The following is a 22070-nucleotide window of genomic DNA, read 5'->3' on the forward strand; positions in this document are numbered from 1 at the left end:
AGGAAGTTAGTTACCCCTTCCCTTTGAACCTGCCCTAGACGAGCTCCTTCCTCCCTTCCTCCCTCCCTCCCCTCCCTCCCCTCCCCTCCCTCCCCTCCCCTCCCCTCCCCTCCCCTTCCCCTCCCCTTCCCCTCCCCTTCCCCTCCCCTCCTTCCCCTCCCTCCCCTCCCCCTCCCCTCCCTCCCCTCCCTCCTCCCTCTGCCCTCCCCCTCCCTTCCCACTCCCCTCCCTCTCCCCTCCCCCTCCCCTCCCTTCCTTTCCTTCCCCTCTCTTCCCTCTGTCCCTATGCACCAATTATATGCCAAGCTTGGAGGGATGGCCCTGCCTGTTGCTGGCCAGATCCTTGTACCCCAGGGCTGGGTGGCACTAGGGTTCTCTACAAATGTGAGCCAAGTGAGTTGGGGGTTGAGGCTGGAGGCAGCAGCCACACTGGGCTGGTAGGGCATCTGAGCCTTTCCATCGCCTGGACTCTGCCCTGCCATCCTCGGGAGCCAGGGACAGTATCCTGGTCAGCTCAGGTTGCCATGATGAAATACCATAGACCAGGGAGCTTAAACAGTAGACACTCCTCACAGCTCTGGAGGCTGGAAGCCGACCATCAGGCTGCTGGCCTGGCTGGGTTCTGCCAGGGTTCTCTTCCTGGCTGGCAGCCTCTGCCTTCTCTCAGGTCCTCTCGTGGCCTTTCCTTGGGACCTATGGGTGGAGAGAGGAAGGACGCTCCCTGGCATCTCTTCTTAAAAGGACACTAATCCCCATGGTAGGGGCCTCACTCTCATGACTTACCCAACCTCCATCACCTCTCAGAAGCCCCATCTCCAATACCATCACACTGGGGCTCAGGCTTCAACATATGGGTTTGTGGGGGACACAGTTCAGCCCGTAGCAGACAGGGCTCAGGCAGGCAAAGCCACGGTCCAGCCTGTGCCCTGGGAAGTCCCCTCTGCTGCACCACCGAGGGTGGTTCAGAGGCAGCGTGAAAGGCAGGGAGAGCAGCCAGGGGCCACTGCCATGACTGAACTCAGTGAGAAGTGGATGGAATGAGGCCGAGGAGGACTTGCCACCCCGTCACTGCCAGGAGTGCGACAAAGGAAGCAGCGTCAGGGACTGTACCCTGCGGTGGTGGGTGGTGCTGAGCCGGGAGGCACTGTGTTGAGGGCTGGGGAGTTGTGGAGGTGTCTAGGGGCAGATGGACACAGGGGTAGGGAGCTCAGTGGAAGGTCTGGGCTGGAGAAAGATGGGGGTGGGGGTGCTGCCCTGGGCGTGGCTGAAGTCCCAGATGTGTGGGTGGGGGAGGGAGGCAGAGCAGGAAAAAAAGGACGGGGCACCCCTGCAGGCGGCAGCCCCTCCTGTCCCCTCGCCCCATCCCAGGCTGGTGGCAGGCCCCTTTCACCAGGCACATTTCCGGGTGTTCTAGGCTCCCCCACTTAGAGCCCCATCCCCACAAACAGGCAGCTGCAGCCGTCAGCTGACAAGAGGCTCCTCCAGGAGTCTCCAGAGCTGCTGACAACATCACCTGTCTCTGGATGCTTGTAGCTCCCGCCCCAGAAAACTGACTGTGGCTAAGGCAGAAAGGGTCATTCCTGTGGAGCCACGGTGGCCATGGAACCAGCTCGCTGTCCTCCCTGGGTCACAGCAGAGGGTCACCTGGGAGTCTGTGTGAGGAGGGGCCTGGGAGCCAGAAAGCAGAGATAAGGCCCTGGGCAGAGCACTGGGCTGGGAATCCGGCCTCTCCCCTGACCTCAGCAGGACGTGGGGCCTCAGCCTCCCACATGTACAATGAGGGGCAGACCAGAGGGCCTTCAGCTCTGGCCTATGAGGGTCCTGGGCTCCTGCCTTATTTGGGGGGCTCCAGGTTAGCAGGGGGAGGGATGGCTGCACAGACCCATGGAGTCACAGTTGTCTGCGTGGGTCCAGGGCACAGCAATGAGTCTGGGATTTGGCTCTCTTGCAAGAAGATGGAGGGGGTGAGTGCAGCTCTGGCTGGGGCAGCCACCAGGTGCTGAGGGGGAAGCAGGGGTGGGGTGGTTGAGAGCCTGGGCTTTAGCATTGGACAGACCAGGGCTCTGATCTTAGCCCTGCCACTGGCTTCAAGCTGTGACCTTGGGCAGGTTCCTTCATCTCTCCGACTTTTAGTTTCCTCATCTGTGAGATGGGGATTGTGATGATATCCACTTATGAGTTCATTGAGCCATGAGTGAAATTATGGTTACAATAAGTGCTCGTCTTCATGCCTGTCACTTAGGGATGCCAAATGGTACCCTTTACACTTGAGCCTCGAGGCTGCAGTGAGCTATGATTGTGCCACTGTGCTCCAGCCTAGATGATAGCGAGACCCCACCATCTCTCTCTCTCTCTCTCTCTCTCTCTCTCTCTCTCTCTTTTTTGTAGACAGAGTCTTGCTCTGTCACTCAGGCTGGAGTGCAGTGGTGCTATCTCGGCTCCCTCCAACCTCTGCCTCCTGGGTTCAAGCGATTCTCCTGCTTCAGCCTCCTGGGTAGCTGGGATTACAGGTGCCTAACACCATGCCTGGCTAATTTATATATATATTTTTTAGTAGAGACGGGGTTTCCCCATGTCGAACCTGGGAGGCAGAGGTCGCAGGGAGCCGAGATTGCGCCACTGCACTCCAGCCTGGGCGACAGAGCGAGACTCTGTCTCAAAACAAACAAACAAAAAAAACACAAACAAACCAGAGTCAGGAGACAAAGCAGCGCTGTTTGGGGCTAAGGAGGGCAGGGAATTGAAAGCGGTCTGGGAGGAGAGGAATCAGAGGCATTCTTGGAGTGGGAGGCTGCAGCTGGGCTCTGCGGCTGGGCTGGGTGCAGCTGGGGAAGGTAGGCTGTTGTGGTGTTCTGCTCCAGGTAGGTGAGGTATGGCAAAGCTGCACCCCTGGGGGCCAGGGCTCTGCAGGAACAGTGACCTTGTGTAGGGCGGGCCCAAGGAAAGGCTTTCTGGGATTCTGGGATGCTGGGATTCTGAGCTTCGGCGGCTGCCAGGCCCCAGTGAGAAAGGGTGGTGTCTGAGGTTGGGTCCAAGACAGTCTTCCTACTCGCAGTAATTTTCCAACTTGTGTTTATATCTGCCTGGAACTTCCCTAATCCCTGAGGCCAGGAGGGAAATTTGATGTCATGATTTGGATGGATGAAGGGTATTTCTGGAGACAGATGGAAAGAACAAAGAGGTAGAGGCTTTTCCATGGTATCAGACTCAAAGGGTTAAAATAAAAAGGCCAGGGACTTCCCTGCTGCAGGGGCCTGGGACAAGGACCTGAGGATGGTGCCCAGAGGCTGCCGAGGGAAGGACCTGGACCCACTTGGCTCGGACTGGCTCCTGGCCTGCTGAAGGAGAGACAGGATCTTGAGTTTCTGTTTTGGGAAATAACTTCTTTTTTTCTTCTCCTGATTATAAAAGTCAAATGATGCTTAGGAAAATGATTTGGAAGAAACACTGCAAGCTATTAACAGTGGTTACCTTAGGGAAGGGCGTGGGATTTGGGGTGTGTGGAGCAAGAATTAGGGGAATCTCTGCCCTTTGTGTATTATTAGAATGTCTTATAACTCCTGGTTTCCAGGACAGCCCTTGTTTAGCCAGTCGTCCTGGGGTCACTATTAATGCAACCCCTATTCACTCTTGAGTGGCCCAGTTCAGACCCTAATGTATAAGGTCACGTTATTTATAACAAGCAAGTTTTAATTCTGTCTGCTCTTTCCAAAAAAGTTCAGCCAACAGGGCAAGCTCTAGAGAAGAGGGTGAAGAAGACCTATAATCCCCCCCGACGCTGGCTGTTTGCGGGGGCGGCAATAGAAGGGGCTGTGGAAATGGCAGCTGAGTCCCGCCAGGCCCCCCAGGCCATGCTCCCCTCCACAGAAGTGGGCCTGGCTTAGGCCAGGGGCTTAAGCATCAGAGGGGAGCTCAGGACACCTCCAAGAGAAAGCCTCTCTGGCCCAGGAGGAGGCGAGGGGTAGGGGAGGGTAGGCAGGGGTAGAAATGAAGGCTCACCCTCAGCTCCTATGTCAGCGGGTCACAATCAGACTGAGAAACACTCCTTAGAGCCCCTTGGAGGGGCTTCCTGGGAGGTGTCACAGCCAGGAGTGGGCATGCTGCTCCCTCCCCTGCACCTCTGGGGTAAAGCCAGGCCCCTGAGACCCCACGCACCATCCCACGAGTCACTCCCTCTGCCTCATCCCAAGAGCTCTCCAGGGGTGGATGCCACTCAGCACAGGTTGACCCTGGAGCCCTGGACAGGAGTCGAGCCCTAGGTTCACAAGGGCAATAGTACAGGAGGAGGAGAGGGAGGCAGTTCCTTGGGGACCTGCCGCTGAGCAGGTCCAGCCTCCGGGCATGGTTGACTGGTCACCTCCCTGCAGATGCGCCCCAGCTGACGGAGCTGCCCCGGGATGTCACTGTGGAACTGGGGAGGAGTGCCCTCTTGGCATGCCGGGCAACAGGCCGCCCGCCCCCGACGGTCACCTGGCGCCGCGGAGATGGCCAGCCTCTGGGACTCAGGCTGGGGGCCGGGCGAGGCAGTAGGTCTCGGCAGCCGGATTCGGGAGTGCTGTTCTTTGAAAGTAAGAGATTGGGGCTGGTGGGGGGTGGGCAGGGAGACAGGATGGCCTCTGACACCCTAAACCCCAGGCCAGGTGGCCGAGAGCAGGACCCTGACCGCCAGCACTGACCATAGAGCAGAGGCTGATACGCGGTCACACTTTGGCTGGGTGGCTCTGGCCAAGTCATTCCACTACTCTGACCCTGTTCATAATCACGACCATGAAATCTACTACCCACCTGGCTGATTAGCAGCCACTTTATGGGGCTGTTGTGTGGATAATCTGTACAAAGTGCTTAGCACAGTTCTTGCCACATGCTGTCACACACATATAAGCTACTATGATTACCATAATTACTACTGCGCCTACCCTACCACCCACTCTTTACTACACGCCAGGCCCAAGGGCGGGCACTTTGTCAACCCTGCCCCATCACACTACTACAAGGTACAGGCCAATTACCCCCATTCCACAGATGAGCAAACTGAGGCTTTCTCACCTTCCAAGGTCCAGCGGTGTCCCTCACCCCTTCCCTCTCTACCATCCCAGCCTTCCCTCCTGAACCTCTGTAAGGCCAGGCCATGCCAAGGGGCTGTCTCTGCACCTGGGGAGCTGGAGCCCATGGGGGCTGCAGCTGTGGTGTGCCTTGGCAGTCACACCTGCCTCTCTCGTGCCCCTCAGGTGTGGCCCCAGAAGACCAGGCCCCATATGTCTGTGAAGCTCGAAACGTCTTTGGGAAGGTCCAGGCTGAGGCCCGGCTCATCGTCACTGGTCACGGTTCGCTGGTGGATCTGAGGGCCGTGGGAGGTGGGAGGTGGGAGGCAGGTGCTCCCCGGGGGCACAGCAAGGCCGTGGGCGCCTCCAGGGAGCCTCTCCTGGCCCATCTGTTGGAACAAACGAATCCACAGCCAAATTCTCCAAGAGCAGCACCTGTGCCCCTGCGTCCTGGACAATGTCCTGGGGGTCCTGTGACCCTTTAGGATCCCCAATTCTGATGCATCTCTCAGTTCCCTGGGGAGGGAGAGGGGAGCAGGAGCCTCTGTCCCCCAGACAACCACCCAGGGCACCTATTGTGGCTGACACCGGCTCCTCTCCCCACAGCCCCGCCACAGATCGCCAGCAGCGCCCCCACCGTCCGGGTCCTGGAGGGGCAGCCCGTGTCCCTGCCCTGCATCGTCCTAGCTGGGCGGCCCCTCCCGGAAAGGCACTGGCTCAAGGACGGCCGGCCCGTGAGTGTCGGGCTCCTCTGGGTGCGGTGGGCGGTGGCACCTGGGGAAGAAGGAGGCTGTCACAGCCACGTCTCTATCTCTGCTTGGCTGTTTCCCCGCCTGGGAGTGTCCTCTTCCTTCCACCCTCTTTTTGGCCCCATTTCAGAACCTTCTCTGATAATGCACTGATGGTGTTTGTTGCCCTCTAAAGTCCCGCCGGCTGTCAGATGGGTCATGGCTGCTGGACCCCTGGGAGCTCTGCAGGGCAATCGTGTGCCTCAGGAGTGCTGTGAGCCAGGGAGCAGGGATTTAGTGGAGGCCCAGTCTCAATGCAGTGGTCTCCCCGGTTCTTATGATTCCAGAGCAGGGATGTGAGCTGTGCGGTTTCCTATCTGCCCCAGACACCGGCGCGCGCTGAACGCACAGTGGTTGCCTTATCAACCAGTTCACGTCCATTTGATTTTCTTGGTGTTCTTCTGTTTGCCCTCTCCTATTGACTCTTTCATTACCTCTTCCCTTTCCTCAATTCTTCTGCCTGGTCTCAGACACACCAGGTCCCTGTGTCCTGCAGGCTGCAAAGAGGTGCCTTCCCAACTCTGCATTCCCAGGAGAGACTCTCGTGGGCCCAGCTTGGGTCAGGCTCACCCTGGTCCAGTTGGCCGAGGGAGAGGTGGGGTCAGGGTATGTAGGGGTCAGGCCCACCCAGCCCTGCAGGGTCTCTGGAGGGCTTGACTGGGCACTCGGGAAGGACTCACAGAGCTCCTCAGCCTTCTCTGAGCCCCCGGGCTCTCAGTCCTGGCTGCTCCCTACTGGCCTGATGAGCAGCATAGTTTCCCGAGGGTTCTTTCTCAGCTGCCTCTGAGTGAGGCCCAAGGCTAAGCTGGTGCTTCCTCACCCCCACCAGCTCCCACCTGGCAGCCGGCATTCCATCCGAGCAGACGGCAGCCTCCACCTTGACCGAGCATTGCAGGAGCACGCGGGGAGGTACAGCTGTGTGGCCACCAACACGGCCGGCTCTCAGCACCGGGACGTGGAGCTGGTGGTCCAGGGTGAGTCCTGGGGTCTCGGAGGTGGTGGTCGTGGGGCAGGGAACATGATGGGGTGGGGGAATGTGCAGAGGTAACTTGATCTTGAATGCATTTGCTTTAAAAAATCGTGCAAATCATATATATTCTCTGTGGGAAAATTAGGGATTTGACAAGTTAAAAAAATACTCTCATAATACCAGTAGCTAAGAATAACCAGATTTTGCATTTTGGCATGTATCTTTTCATACTCTATACACACACACTCTCTATATGTATATCACACACACCTATGTGTAGTATATATATACACTATGTATACATAGAATATATATTCTTTATACATTTTACATACAGATTCTTTGTATGTTCTTATAAATTACATAAAAATTATCTATCATCTATCTATCTAATCTATCTATCTATCTATCTATCCATCTATCTATCTATCTATCCATCTGTCTATCTATCTATCTATCCATCTAATCTATCTACCTGTTTACAAACCTATTTAAAAACCAAATAGGATCACATGCTGTCATTGTCTTGGCACCTAAGTGTTTCCATGACAAGGTGTTATGGCTGTTCTGTTTTCTGTCAATTAAGATTCAGAGGCATCAGTTTAATAAGGGGATGATCATGTCCCCTGATTATCTAATTACCTGATTATCTGTACTCCCCCCGCCCAACCGCATCCCCCACACCCCGGGTATGAACAGCCTCGTACCTACACATTGTAGGTGACCACGTACCTACGTGACCAATTCTTTCCTTAGGATAAACCCATTAATGTGGATTAAGTTTTGCATCACAGAGATTGTACGTTTTTGGAATTTTTAGTGTCTTGCCCAACTGCTCTCCTGCCCACAGCACTGGGTTCTTTTATTCACCCAACTGGAACCACTGTGCTTTTTAATGTAAGATGAGACATTTCAAATTAAATTTGGTTGTATTTTGTGATTTACCAAGTATGTTAATATCGTCTTTTTTCTTGTTTGTTTCATAAAGCCCCCAAGGGATTAGTGGGAAGAACGCGCGTTCCCCATTTTATAGGGGAGTGCAAAGTTCAGAAGGGCTGGGTTGAGCGCTCAGGTGCAATTCTAGGTGCCATCCCCTCATAATTCCAGATCCAAATCGCCATCCAGGGTGGAGTGTGTACCACATGCCAGGCATCTGCTAGTTTCTATATATGATTCCACTCAGTTTCACCCCCTAACTTCCCACTGTGCCCTCACAGCCGCTTCTGTGGGGCTAACATGAACAGGCTCAGTCTCTCTTGGCTCAGTTCATTTCTATTCAGCAAATATTTATGGGCCTCTGCTGGCTGTGGCGACCTGGGAGTCCAGAAGTCCATTTTCCTCCCTAAAGGAGCTCCAAGTGCTAGCGTGAGAGCCCCTGGCTTCTGGATTCCTCTCCTGGCTTCTCCATGCCTAGTTACCCCTCTCTCGCTCCCCTTAGAGACCCCGTGTTCAAGCCTGCGAATCTGAGTGGTGCCCAGGGTGGGTGTGACACCTGTTTTTAAGCTCACTGTGTTCTGCAAACACTGCTCATCTATCCATTCCAGAAGGGACGACCAGGGAACTGGGGTTAAATTAGCTTTTGTGCTGATCAGGGAATATGGGTACCAAAAGATTAAGTGGCTTATCCAGAGCCCCAGAGCAATGAATCAGCGCAGCTGGTTCCCAAGCACATGCTGCCTTCTGTATGGGGAAGACAAAAAAACTGACGATGGCAGGCAGTGGTGGCTCAGGGATTGTTCCAGTTTTATTCTCCCATTGAAAGCTTTTTTTTTTTTTATTTTACTTATTTATTTCTGAGACGCAGTCACTCTGTTGCCCAGGCTGGAGTGCAGTGGCATGATCTTGGCTCACTGCCACCTCCACTTCCCGGGTTCAAGCGATTCTCCTGCCTCAGCCTCCTGAGTAGCTGGGATTACAGGCATGTGCCACCATGCCCGGCTAATTTTTGTATTTTTAGTAGAGACGAGTTTCACCATGTTGGCCAGGCTGGTCTCAAACTCCTGACCTCAGGTGATCCACCTGCCTCAGCCTCCCCAAGTGCTGGGATTACAGGCATGAGCCACCGTGCCTGGCCTGAAAGCTTTTAAAATTGTCAAATATACATAACATAACGTGTATCATTTGACGATGTTTAGGTGTGCAGTGGTGTTGGTACATTCACATTTCACACTATCACCGCTATCCATCTCCAGGACTTTCTCATCATCCTAAACTGAAACTCTGTCCTCATTAAACATTAGCTCCCCATTCCCGTCTCCCCTCAGCCCCCTGGGAGCCACCCTTCTGCCTCCTATCTCTATGAACTTGCGTATCTAGGGACTTCATAGAAGTGGAATCTTACAGTATTTGTCCTCCTATGTCTGTGATTTCACTTAGCATGTTTTTAAGGTTCATCCATGGTGTAGCATGTGTCAGAATTTTATTCCTTTTAAAAAAACAGACTGGACTTTTAAGAGCAGTTTAAGTTTATAGAAAAACTCAGCGGAAGGTACAGAGATTTCCCACATAACCCTGGCTCCCGCCACGCGCAGCCTTCTTCACTGTCAACATCCCCCACCAGGGCGGCCCGTTGTTAGCACTGAAGACACGTCATCATCACTCCAAATCCCATAGTTTACATTGGGGTTCCCTCTTGGTGGTGTTTATTTGTTTTATTTTTTATTTTTATTTTAGATGGGTTCCCTCTTAGTGGTTTTTTAATTTTTTATTTTTTTTGAGATGGAGTCTCACTCTATGGCCCAGGCTGGAGTGCAGTGGCGCAATCCCAGCTCACTGCAACCTCCACCTCCCGGGTTCAAGTAATTCTCCTGCCTCAGCCTCCTGGGTAGCTGGGACTGCAGGCGCCCGCCACTGTACCGGTCTAATTTTTGTATTTTTAGTAGAGACAGGGTTTCACCCTGTTGGCCAAGGTGGTCTCGAACTCCTGATCTCTGGTGATCCGCCCACCTTGGCCTCCAAAGTGCTGGGATTACAGGTGTGAGCCACTGCACCCAGCCTTGGTGTTGTTTATTTTGTGGGTTTGGACAAATGCAGTGACCCATCACTGCAATATCACCTGGAGTAGCTTCACTGCCCTAAAAATCCTCTGGGCTCTGCCTCTTCATCGCTTCCTCCCCCAACCTGGCAACCACTGATCTAGTTTTGTCTTTTCTTCTTCTTCTTCTTCTTCTTTTTTTTTTTTTTTGTAGACAAGAGTCTCACTATGTCTCCCAGGCTGAAGTACAGTTGTGCAATCTCTGCTCACTGCAACCTCCGCCTTCCAGTTCAAGCAATTCTCCTGCCTCAGCCTCCCGAGTAGCTGGGATTACAAGGCATGCACCACCATGCACAGCTAATTTTTGTATTTTTAGTAGAGGCGGAGTTTCACCAAGTTGGCCAGGCTGGTCTCGAACTCCTGACCTCAAGTGATTCTCCCGCCTCAGCCTCCCAAAGTGCTGGGATTACAGGCATGAGCCACCATGTCCGACTGCTTTGCCTTTTCCAGAATGTCATATAGCTGGAATTAATTGCCTTCCTTTTTAAGGATGAATACTCTTCTGTTGTGTGCACACACCGCATGCTGTGTGCCCATGCATCGCTGATGGACATTTGGGCTGTTTCTACCTTTTGGCCACTGTGAATGATGCTGCAATGAGCCTTGGCTTTGACATTGGTTTATTTATAACAGTGCCACCTAGAATCCATCCCACTGCCACCCACCATATCACCAATGAAGGGGTTGCGGCCTCTCTTCCCTGCGTCGCTTCAGGAGTTCCCGCCCCCACCATCACGTGGACCAAGGTAAGCAGTGCCTGTTACCGAGAGGATAACTGGAGAGGTAGGCCCAGTGTGTCATGGGGCGGAGGTGTGGGCTTCGCCGATGTCACCTGTGCCTCTGCCCTAGGAAACCAATGCCCTGACCTCCAGAGGTCCCCACTACAATGTGAGTAAGGAGGGCACCCTGCTCATCGCCCAGCCGTCTGCCCAGGACGCAGGGGCCTACGTCTGCACGGCCACCAACACCGTGGGCTTTTCTAGCCAGGAGATGCGACTTTCTGTCAACAGTGAGTGATGCCAACCCTGTCCTGGGAGAGGGGGCTCAGTGGCTGTGGAGACAGAGAGTCCCACGTCAGCCCTGTGGAGCCTGAGGCAGGGAAGCTGTTGCATCAGCAAGTCCTGCAAAGACACGTGGCTCTGCACAGGACCCGCGTCCCCAGCAGCCCTCTCCCCGCCTCTCTCTGCCCCAGACCCTCTGGTCTCCTTTCTGTTTCTGGAATGGTCCAACCTGCCTCAGGGCTTGTGCACATGTAGTTCCTTCTGCTTGGAATGCTGTTCCCCCACCTCTGGGCCCAGCTGACTGCTCCCATCTGTCAGATCTCAGCTCTCCCTGTTCCCCCAGGCTGGTCAAGTCACCTTGCTGTAAACTGTGGAATATCCCCTTCCTGGCACCCGTCACAGCTATGATTCAATAATTAATCACACAGTGAGCTTTTTGGTACCACTATTGCCAAAGGACCCTAAAGGCTGTGAAGATGGGGCGGGACCTGTCTCCTTCGCTGCCGTCCGCAGCATTCCCCATAGGGCTGGCGCTCAGTAAATACGTCTGGGAGGAGTGAGCAAATGTATAAGCCAGGCTTTTTCTCTCATAGACCCTTACAGTCAATATTTTTATATTGTAAAAAAAAAAAAATTCCTAATGGGGGAGCATTTCCTTTGAACTACAAATGTACGGGGAACACGGGAGGGCTAGATGGGTTTTGATGTCCCCAACTGGCTAGCTTCTTTCATTGTTGCTGCTCAGACAGGTAGCGAGTGCCTTCCTTGTATGAACTCCAAGGTAGAAAGGCGGAGGCGGGGAGCGGGGAGGAAGGAAGGGTACCATGCTGTTTCTGCCGACGAAGGGTCTTCAGCTTAAGGTGAGAGAGACGTGACATGCACAGATTGCCATCAATCCCTCACCAGGCTTCGAGAGGTCCAGAGGGAGGGTCTGTGCATTCTTTGGTGGCTGATATCATGGGAATAAGTGAATGAGCAAGGGGAGAAGGTAGAGAGAGAGGAGGAGTTCAGAGCCTTTCAGAATGTCCCTGGGGAAGGGACAGCAGGATGAAGAGAAGCCAGAGAAGGCACAGACCGTAGGGCAGGAGGGACCGGGTCAGGGTCCTCAGAGCAAGGTGGTGGTGGGGAGGTGGGTAGGGGAGGACTGAGTGAAAACCCTGGGACCTGAGTCCCACCTCCAATCTGGACTCCCCCCCTTCTGACAGCCATATCCACCTTCTGGACCTCCTGAAGGTCGAGGGTGCAGTACCGGCTCTGCCTCCTGGGGGAGCTGCCCCATGGCCCAGGGCGCTCATGGACCCTAGTCCCCTCTGCCCTGCTGACAGGCCCTGCTTACTCTCCCCGCAGCCAAACCCAGGATCCATATGAACGGGTCACGTAATGCAGATGTGCCTCTGCAAGTCACAGCGAAGGCTGGCGAAGAGGTGACCCTGGACTGCGAGGCCAAGGGCTCCCCACCCCCACTGGTCACCTGGACGAAGGACTCCCGCCCTGTACCGCCCATCACCAACAGGTAACCCCAGTCCCATGGCCTCAAGGGACAGAGCTTAGGGCTGGAGGGAAACCTGCCTCAGGTGACCAGTGACCCAGCGGGTGTCTTGGACCCTGCAGTCTCTCCCATAGGGTGCTGCTCCTGGGCTTCTGCACACAAGGCTGTTGTCCACAGGGCCCCAGAAGCCTGGAAGGGGCCTCTAGAGGGTGCCTGGAAGCCCAGGGTGAGACTCCCCATCTGAAATAACATGCACGGGGCATTGCCTGCAGGATCCCATTTAATCTGCACGGCCACCCTTGATATCTAACAGGACACTGACACTCAGCCAGGGAGTGAGCTGCTCGCCATCACCCAGCTAGGAAAGAGCAAAGCCAGGGCTGGGACCACGTCCCCGCCACGACACACACCACCCCCATGCCTGCTCTGCAGACCAGGTGTCTGGCGGCTGGGCTGTCTGACTCAGCTGCTCCCGGTCCGGGATCCTGGGAGTGGGCGGACAGGGAGGAGGCTGGCTTGGGTGTCCTTCAAAGCCACGCCGTACCCCCCAGGAGGGGATGTGGGGGATGCTAGGGCCCTTGCCCCTGGCTGGGGGGTTCTGTGGCTCAGTCTGGTGACATCAGCCCTGGCAGGGTCTTTGAGATGTTCCAGACTCAGAAGGTCTCGGAGCAGCCTGCCCTGTAACGTGACCCCCGCCCCCACCATGTGTCAGTGCATTTCAGAACATCTGTTTGGTGAGTCCTGCCAATCCTTGCAGCCGGGCACCCCTAGAGGTGGCGGGGACCCAGGGAGCCGGCCCTGGGCATCATCGGTGGGGTCCCCCATGCCCTCTTGGCATTGCTGCAGCTCTATGTTGTAGGGTGGGGGTGTGGCGGGGGGCCGTGGGAGCCCACAGCTCCCCTAGAAAGCCCGGTCCTAGCTCCGCGGCTGGGTGGTGGCCCTCAGCTGGAGGATGTGTGTTGATCTATGGCTTGTTACTGAAACGGGAACCGCATTCCCATTAGTTCACCCCTCCTCGCCGTGGTGCGTTAATAGGTCAGCTGGGAGCTGTAAATTTGCGAAAGCCACTTTTGCAATCCTAGAGTTGTGTTGTGTTCCCTCTCCCTTGCCCTCTTCACTTCGTGCTGGCTTACATTGTTTTATCTCCAGATTTGGGAGATTCTGAGAGTTTATCTAAATAAGGAGGGAAAATGTGCTGGGAGGCGGGGGTGGGGTTAAGTGCTCAGGCCCTGGAGTTCCGCAGACCCGGTGCCGAACTGCCTGCTCCCTTCTTAGTCATGCAACCTCGGGTGGCCACTGGCTCCTCTTGGCCTGTTCCTCCATCTGCAAAGTGGACATTATTTAAATAGCACCCTTTTGGGGTAATGACGGATGTGCAGTGCTTAGGAAGTCAGATGTGCTGAAAACTCGCTCCCTTTCGTATGATTTCCCTGCTGTTGCTGTTCACAAACTGAGACATCCTCTCCAGCTTTTACACATTTATCCTCCTCCTACCACACCTGTTATCTCAATTGTCACCTGCTTTTTAAATATAAAACCTTTATTGAGATGTAATTCACATACTGTATCATTCGCTTATTTAAAGGACACAGTTCAGTGTTTTTAGTATATTCAGACTGTGCAGCCATCACCATGATCAATTTTAGAACATGTTCATCACCCTCCCAAAAAAACTTCATACTCATTGGCAGCCACCAGCCCCCCATTTCTGCTCCAGCCCCACTGCAGCCCCTGACAGCCACTGATCTGCTTTCAGCCTATTCTGGACATTTGATATAAATGAATTACATGGGGCCTTTCGTGTCTGGCTTCTGTCACCTAACTCAATGTCTTCCAGGTTCATCCATGTCGTAGCCAGATGAGTGCCTGCTTCCTTTTAATGGCCAAATAGTGTCCCATCCTGTGGGTGCTCACCTTTTGTGTGTCCACTCATCAGTTGATGTGCACTGGGGCTGTTTCCACATTTTGGTGGCTGTGAATAGCCTCACTTTTTTTTTTTTTTTTTTTTCGGAGATGGAGTTTCACTCTGTTGCCAGGCTGGAGTGCAGTGGTGCAATCTCAGCTCACTGCAACCTCCGCCTCCCTGGTTCAACTGATTCTCCTGCCTTAGGCTCCCGAGTAGCTGGGATTACAGGCACCTGCCATCATGCCCAGCTAATTTCTGTATTTTTAGTAGAGACGGGGTTTCACCATCTTGGTCAGGCTGGTCTTGAACTCCTGGCCTCAGGTGGTCCACCCGCCTCGGTCTCCCAAAGTGCTGGGATTACAGGCGTGAGCCACTGTGCCTGGCCATAGCCTCACTTTTGATTGTACTTGAAGCTTTGTTCGCAGGCTCTGGGTCCTCTGGTTCCCTCCCTGCCCCACACTGGCAGTGTCCACACACAGAACCACACTCAGCCTCTCACAGACACACCACACCCCCTCCGTCCCTCAGTGACTCGACCAGAACACAGAGACTTAAAAAGCCCCTTGGAAAACACACAGTGAGACTTTCTGTCTGTCTGCTTCCTCCTCCCCTCCCCCCCTTCCCTACATCCTCTTCCTCTTCCTCTCCTGTCTCCCTCTTCCCTTTCCCTCCTCCTCCCCTTCCCCTCCCTTCCCCTCTCCCTTGTCTTCCTTGTCCTTCCTTCTCCAAGGATGTCCCCAGGCTCAGCCTCAAAGCTGCCCTTCTGAAAACGGAGCACTTACCTGGCTGATGCGTCTGGTGAGTCGTAGGTGCTCATCTCTTGACAGGGGCCAGCAGCCCTCCACGCCCCTCTCCCCCCTCCCCTGCTCCCTTGCTCCTCTTCCCTGCTGAGCTGCCCCAAGGACAGGGCTCCACGGCAGCCCCTTCTCCTGTCTGTGGGGAATTCTGCGGTGTAGTCAGGGCTGAGAGCCAAGATGTGCTGAGCCTCTGCGGCCCCCTCCATTCCCCTTGTCCAGGGGTGGCCCTCTCCTGCCAGCGCCCTGTAGGTGGTTGGGGTGGATGGCACCATGCCCAGTGCACTGAGGAGGAAACAGAAACACATGGGGTGTGGGGACGTGGAACCTGACCCTGCAGCTCTTGGGGCTGGGTCCCAACATGCACAGACACGCAGACACACATAGACGCACGCACAGGGACACACGTATCAGGTGGGCCACTGCTCTCTGAACTCCTAGGTATCTTCGACCCCCCCAAGTCAGCAAGTGCTCACAGAGGAAGCATCCTAGGAACCTCAGAAGCCGTGAAGTTCTGAGCCGCCCAGCTGCATCCCAGTCCCTTTGGAGCGGCTCTTATCCTTGTAGGGGCTGTTCTAAAATTAAACCTCGTGCATCTTATATTCCGTCCTCATCACGGATTCCTTTTCTCTTTTACCCATTTTCTCGATTCATTCTGGCCCACGTCACTTGCTTTTCCTTTTGAAGGGCAAAATAGACCGGTCATGGTGGCTCATGCCTGTAATCCCAGCACTTTGGGAAGCCAAGGAAGGCGGATCACGAGGTCAGGAGATCAAGATCATCCTGGCCAACATGGTGAAACCCTGTCTCTACTGAAACACACACACACACACACACACACACACACACACACACAAATAGCCGGACGTGGTGGTGCGCGCCTGTAGTCCCAGCTTCTCGGGAGGCTGAGGCAGGGGAATCGCTTGAACCTGGGAGGTGAAGGTTGCAGTGAGCCAAGATCGTGCCATCGCACTCCATCCTTGCAACAGAGCAAGACTCTGTCTTAAAAAAAAAAAAAAAGGACAAAGTAACATTCCAGGGCGCTCGGCTCCCATCATCGCTAAGTCATTGCTCTGTGTGGGGCACGGCCATGTTGCCAGCTCTCGCGGTCATAAATGGGACTGTTGGAGCAGCTTTGCACAATGTTCCTCTTTATCTCCTGGGTCGGTTCCTTGCGGGACGGTCCCAGAAGCCAACGGTGAAGTCCGAGGGTGGGAATGGTCACTGAGTGCTTCTTTCCTGTGGGACTTATTTTTGAAAAAGACATCCAAGTTGCAAATTCAAAATTGAAGTCAGCAGCATTGACTGAGCAGTATCCTATGCCCAGGATTGTGTTGCAGCCTCGGAGACAGAAGACATGGGCTTGGGCTGTGTGTGAGGTCAGGTGGCAGAAGACCTGGGGTCCCATCCCAGCTTCACCCCAGCTCGCCCGGTGACCTCAAACAAGACCCTTCCCCTCTCCCCTCCCTGGGCCTCAGCCTTTCAGTTTGAGAAATGAAAGGGTTGGACAGGCGATGGTGGCCAGAGAGCATCTCGGGGCTCTGGTCCCATGATTCAGCCCAGGGATGCTGGGGCGAGGCAGTGTTTCCAGGCAACAATGTTTGTTTGGGATTCCGATGAGGAGATGGGACGGCTGTGAGCACTCCTGGCTCTGGCTGTGGCTCCCGGAGGCAGCCGGCCAGCATTCCACACAGGGCCAAATCCCTAATCCCAGCGCGGTGTGGGGGCAGTGAGAGGATGGTGCGTTTCTATCTCGTTCTTCCAGGTTTTCTTCCTTTGATACCCCCACCACCCTCCTCTGCCCCTTCCCAAGCACACTGCAGGACAGGCTGCCCACCCACCCTTCTCCTGGAAGGGGACCACTGGGCCGGCTCATTAGAGGTGAGAGGTGAGGCCTGCAGCTGGGATCTGGTGACTTGTGGCAGGGAAAGCAGCTCACTGCTCTCTGCAAGCCAGTGGTGTGCCTGGACTGCCCAGGGCCCTGCATGGGGACTGTACCTTGGTGGATCCTCAAAGCCCTTGTTGGTTTCTGGTCTGGTGGCTCTGGAGTCCATCTGGTCAGCCTGTGGGCAGTGGCTGTCTTTCTGGAGAACATTTAAGTTTCCTCGCCTTCAGAGCCGGACGTTTAGATCACCATGGCGGTTAGGAAGGAGCATGGTCGCACAGTGTGAGGGTCCAGTCCTCGCTGTGCCCTGGCCAGCTCAGTGGCCGTGGACACCAGGACCACACCTCCGGAGGCTCAGTCTTCTCCTCTGCAAAAGGGGGTGTGGTAGTGGGTCTGCCTGCCTGGTAGGTCTGGCTGTTGGGATTCTAAGTGAGAGCGTGTTTGGCGGCACAGTGACCCACAGGAAGCACTCAATAGTTGACAGCTGTGGCTGGCGTCAGCACCATCCTCGTTAGCAGCACCAGCATCGCAGGGCTTACGCTCTCCGGGCTCGTGCGATGGCGCTGGCTCCGTCTCCCCCTACCTACCTGAGGCCCCTTGGCGTGTCTCAGGCACCTCCTCCTGAATTTCTCCAGCATGACCTTCCCTCATGTGGCCTCCTCACGGGTCTGCGATCCTGGTCAGGCTACAGGAAGAAGACGCGAGTTGGGGCAGTGGTTTCCGGGAGGGGTTCTCTCCAGGCCAGCAGACAGGGCTGGCGTCCACTAGTGCATAGTGGGCATCTGTTGAGTGTTGCCTGACTGTGCGCTCTGTGCTGAGAACCAGCCGTGCAGCAGGCTGGGTGACTCTGGCGGGGAGTGCCGTTCATTCCACGGCCGCCGGCCCTGCTCCTGGATGCTTTATAGACAGAGGCAGCAAAAACAGCAATGTGGGAGACAGCGGGGGTCTGGGGAGGGCAGGAGGGCAGTATTGAGATGGTGGAAGGTCTGGGGGGAGGGAGGGAGAGCAGGGACCCGTGTCAATGAAGGCGGTGAAGGGAGTGTGTGGCATGGACAGGGAACAGATGCAATTTGCCATGAAATATTTATTGAACACCTACTGTGGACCAGGCCAGGGCCCATGCTGAACTGGGGCATGCCGGGGACCTGGGCACACCTGGCTCCTTCCCTCACGGAGCCATCAGACAGCGTAATGACAGGCGTGGTAAACTGCAGAGTGGCATGGGAAGCATGTAATGGGAGGCAGGGTATTGCCTGGGGCAGCAGGGAAGGCTTCCCTGAGTGCAGCAAAGGTGTGTGCCGGGGATGAGGCAGACAGGTGAGGCCTGGGAACTGGCATTATTCCTGGCACTCCCTATCAGATGCCCTTTGGTCTCTCTGGGCAGCCCTCTGCCCCCTGGGCCCCTCTTGCTTCTCCCCACCACTCTGACATCTGCGTGCGCCTCACTGCAGGGGCTCAAGCCAGATGGATGTCATAAACAGGAAATTCCCCTCAAACCTCTCCACTCTCATCTGGGCGCTGCGTGGAGCCATCTGGCCGTGCACGTCGCGATGAAGTCTGCCCCGCTCATCACACCATGTGCCCAACAGCAGCCTGTTCCTCGGAGACTCTGTGGCCTCCTCCCTTTCTCCCATCTCTCCGCTGCCGCCTCCCCTTCCCTGCTGGGCTGCAGCCCCCAAACCTCCCACTGAGCTTCTGGGAATGTAGCGGGAGAGTGGTAGGGGGCAGAAGGAGCAGGTGGTAGGCTGCCCTCGAAACCCCAGGCCCATAGCTGCAGCTTCACCTTTTCCCTGAGTCTCCGCAGAGCATGCGCAGGGTCATGATAAGGCATCTCTCTGTGCCAGGTCTGAGCAGGTCCTGGAGATACCAAGAGAAATAAGACGGATGTCCCCTTGGAGCCACAGGCAGGCAGGTGACAGGTGGTGACAAGCCAGTGTGGTGAAGGCTTTGATGGCAGGATGTTCAGGAAGCTGTGGGAGCCTACAGGATGGACCTACCAGCCTGGGGCATCAAGTCAGCCTTCCTGGAGGAGGTGATGTCTCCGTATTGGAAGATGAATCAAGTATCATCCAGGTGAATGGGAAGTGCAGGTGTGTCCCAGGTAGAAGGAACAGCATGTGCCAAGGAGGGCTGGTGAGATGGGCCTGGCCCCCTGCGGAGGAACGGTGGTCCAGTGCCCCCATGCAGGGATGCAGGGGAGTTGGGGGTGGTCTGCGTAGGTCCACACAGGCCATAGTACTGTGCTTGGGTTTTGTCAGGGAGCAGTGGGCAGCCACAGAGGGCTTGAGAGCAGGTGAGGATGTGGCCAGTTTGGCATTTAGAGCAGACACAGGCTCTGCTGGGCAGGTCCTGGATCCTTTGGCCTCAGCTTGTCCATCTGTAAAATGGATTCCCCCATTTCTTCCTTGGTGATGTAGCAAGCAGAATCCTCCTTCTAGGAAATGATCTTGGATGCTCCTAAGAAAGATAAGATACCCACTTTTATTGGTGTGAATTGTTAACACTTTTGGAAGTTTTTTTTTTTTTTTTTTTTTCAGAAGCCCCATTTCCTATCTTTTTAAGGGTTTGGTGAAGAGGGGAGTAGGGATTCTATGGTCCTTAAAGTTCTGGAGGGCAACTTCTCAGATTAGAGTCTGGAGCTGCTCTTTCTTTCTCTCTTTCTTTCTTTCTTTCTCTCTCTCTCTCTTCTCTCTTTCTCTCTCTTTCTCTTTCTCTCTCTCTCTTCTCTCTCTCTCTCTCTCTCCCTCTTCCTCTCTCTCTCTCTTCTCTCTCTCTCTCTCCTCTCTCTCTCTCTCTCCCTCCCTCCCTCCCTCACCCTTTATTTTTCTTCACAGAGTCTTGCCCCGTTGCCCAGGCTGGAGTACAGTGGCACAACCAGAGCTCTCAATCTCCTGGGCTTGAGTGATCCTCCCAACTCAGCCTCTCAATTAGCTGGGACCACAGGCATGTGCCACTATGCCCAGCTAGTTTTTTATTTTTTGTAGAGATGAGGTCTCCTTGTGTTACCCAGACTGTGTGCTGCCTTTTCAAATATGAAATGGGGTTCAGAGATGTTGACTGCCCTGCCTGGGGCTGCACAGCATGTCTGAAGCACAGTTGAACCTCGGATCCAGAACTCCAGTTTCTAGCCCAGACCTCTTCCTACTGGCCCACATCATCCCTGTTTGCCAGCCCAGGTGTTGCGATGAAATCTAGGGAGGGGACCGCATCCCAGCCTGGAGTGTGATTGAGTGTATAAGTTTCAGCATCAAATGGATTTGGCCGTTGATTGGTGGGTGTCGACATGTCAACATATTTAATTTTTTAAAAAGCTGTAGAAGAGAACATTCAAGCTGGAGTGGCAGACAGAGGAGAGCTACGCAGGGGAAATGTTTACCCATTGCCAGGACACATACATATTTCTGTGGTGTCTTCTCGCGTATTCCTTTGCACTATAAAGACTGAGCAAACTGTTCAGGGCTGCCCAGCTGATTGAAGACTGCGGAGAGGTCCCAGACATTGGCTGGGGATTTGTGTCACACTAATAGCAAGGCAGTTTAGGTGACCTGGAGGAGGTGATGTCTCGGTATTGAAAGATGAGCAGGTGTTATCCATATACTATGTCCTGGGCACCTCAGGCTTTGTGTGTGTGATATCAGTTCACACTAGATAAGGACACTGAAACTCAGGGAGATGGCGTCCTTGGCTCGAGGTCAGCCTGTAAGAGGCAGAATGGTGGTTCTCACCAGGACACCTGCCGTCAAAGACCCGCACCCATCTGCTCTGCCATGCTGCTTCTTGGGGAAGGGGCACGTCTTCATGTCCTCAGGCAGTGGTTCCCTGGAGGCGGTTCCGCAGCCATTAGTATCAGCTACCTAGGGCTTTTTAGTAAAACCCCAATTCCTACCTCCTCCATGGAATGAGTCTCTGGGTAGGGCCTGAGAATCAGCATGTTTCACATGCAGCTGGGAGAATCTGATGAGAACCCCTCCCTTGCAAGGTGTGAGATCTTTGAGAGCAGAGGGTGTGAGCCTGTAGCCCAGGAGACCTGCTCCGGTGCATGTGAGACACATAGAGCAGTGAGTGAGTGAGAGAGAGAGAAAGGAAGGAAAGAAGGAAGGAGAAAGGAAGGAAAGAAGGAAGAGATAAAGATCTGAATGTTTAAATGTCCACTCAAAAGGGAGCAAGTTAATAAACTGTGGTGTGATCATACAAGGGAATATTACACAACAGTCAAAAATGAGTTAATTAGCCCTACATATATACTCATGATGCTATTTATATCGTGATATAGCTCGTGATGCAAGTTTTAAAACATGCAAAACTTTGTGTATTATTTATGCATGTGCTCTTGTCTCCATGGAAGCAGCTGACCTTTGTTGAGGACCTCTCTGTTCCAGACGCCGTGTTATGAATTAGGCCATTCAGTTCTTTTGACAACCCTGTGAGCATTGAGCACAACTGATGGCTCTATTTTCCAAAATGAGATGGCTTAGGCACAGGAAGGGTGAGGTGACTTGCCCAACCTCACACAGCTAGCGCATGGCCTAGCAGGTTAGACCCAGGCAATCCAGCCCAGTGCCTGGGCTCTAGAGACCACCACCCACTGTGTCATCCACAGCCATCCTCAGAGAACTTGTCCCAAGAGGCTGCTGGATGCTCGGGACAAAAGGATGGAGGGGGTGGCTGGAAAGGGGGTGTCATTGCACTACTCTGCAGATGGGGAGACAGAGTTCTCAGCTGGTAGCCCGAGAATTGCCGATGGTGTTGCCCTGTTTAATGACTGCATGGCCCGCGCTTTGCTCACCATGTCTCATGTGATCCTTGCAGCTGCCCGCGAGGTGGGGGCTATGAGGACCCCTAAGAATTCTATAAGGGGCTCTGTGAGCCCCGTTTTGCAGAGGAGGAAATTGAAGCTCAGCAGAAAGCAAGGTGGGGGCCAGGCATCCCGGGCCTGCTGGGTTCTAGAGCCCAGCCAGTGAGCGCAGGGCCAGCGACTGGGCCTTGGAGTCCCCCACCCCCATGCTGGCTGCGTACTCTTGAGGCCAGCTAGGGTCAGTGGCCGCAGCTGTCCTCCCTATTTTATGGAGGCAGGAGCTGTGCGGAGCCAGCACATATGGCCCAGTGACATCATGTCTGCAGGGGGCCCTTGGGGTCCAGCCCAGCTGCAGGAGCCTGGCTG

General features: G+C 54.6%; 1 protein-coding gene across 8 annotated transcripts in view; it reads left to right on the top strand.

Moving 5' to 3' along the window:
• The window catches only part of HMCN2 (hemicentin 2), a 168364-nt gene that overhangs the window by 49368 nt on the left and 96926 nt on the right, over positions 1-22070 (top strand). For 7 of the 8 annotated variants that reach the window (NM_001291815.2, XM_011518466.3, XM_011518465.3 and 4 more), the window contains exons 16-22: positions 4368-4568; positions 5229-5324; positions 5649-5776; positions 6660-6804; positions 10468-10580; positions 10684-10843; positions 12183-12348. In NM_001291815.2, the coding sequence (NP_001278744.1) occupies positions 4368-4568; positions 5229-5324; positions 5649-5776; positions 6660-6804; positions 10468-10580; positions 10684-10843; positions 12183-12348 (1009 nt within the window). Of the gene's footprint in view, positions 1-4367; positions 4569-5228; positions 5325-5648; positions 5777-6659; positions 6805-10467; positions 10581-10683; positions 10844-12182; positions 12349-18831; positions 19000-22070 lie in introns of those variants that run through there. The other variant, XM_017014585.2, reaches the window with a different exon arrangement.

Source organism: Homo sapiens, chromosome 9 (assembly GCF_000001405.40).
Source record: "Homo sapiens chromosome 9, GRCh38.p14 Primary Assembly".
NCBI lineage: Eukaryota > Metazoa > Chordata > Mammalia > Primates > Hominidae > Homo > Homo sapiens.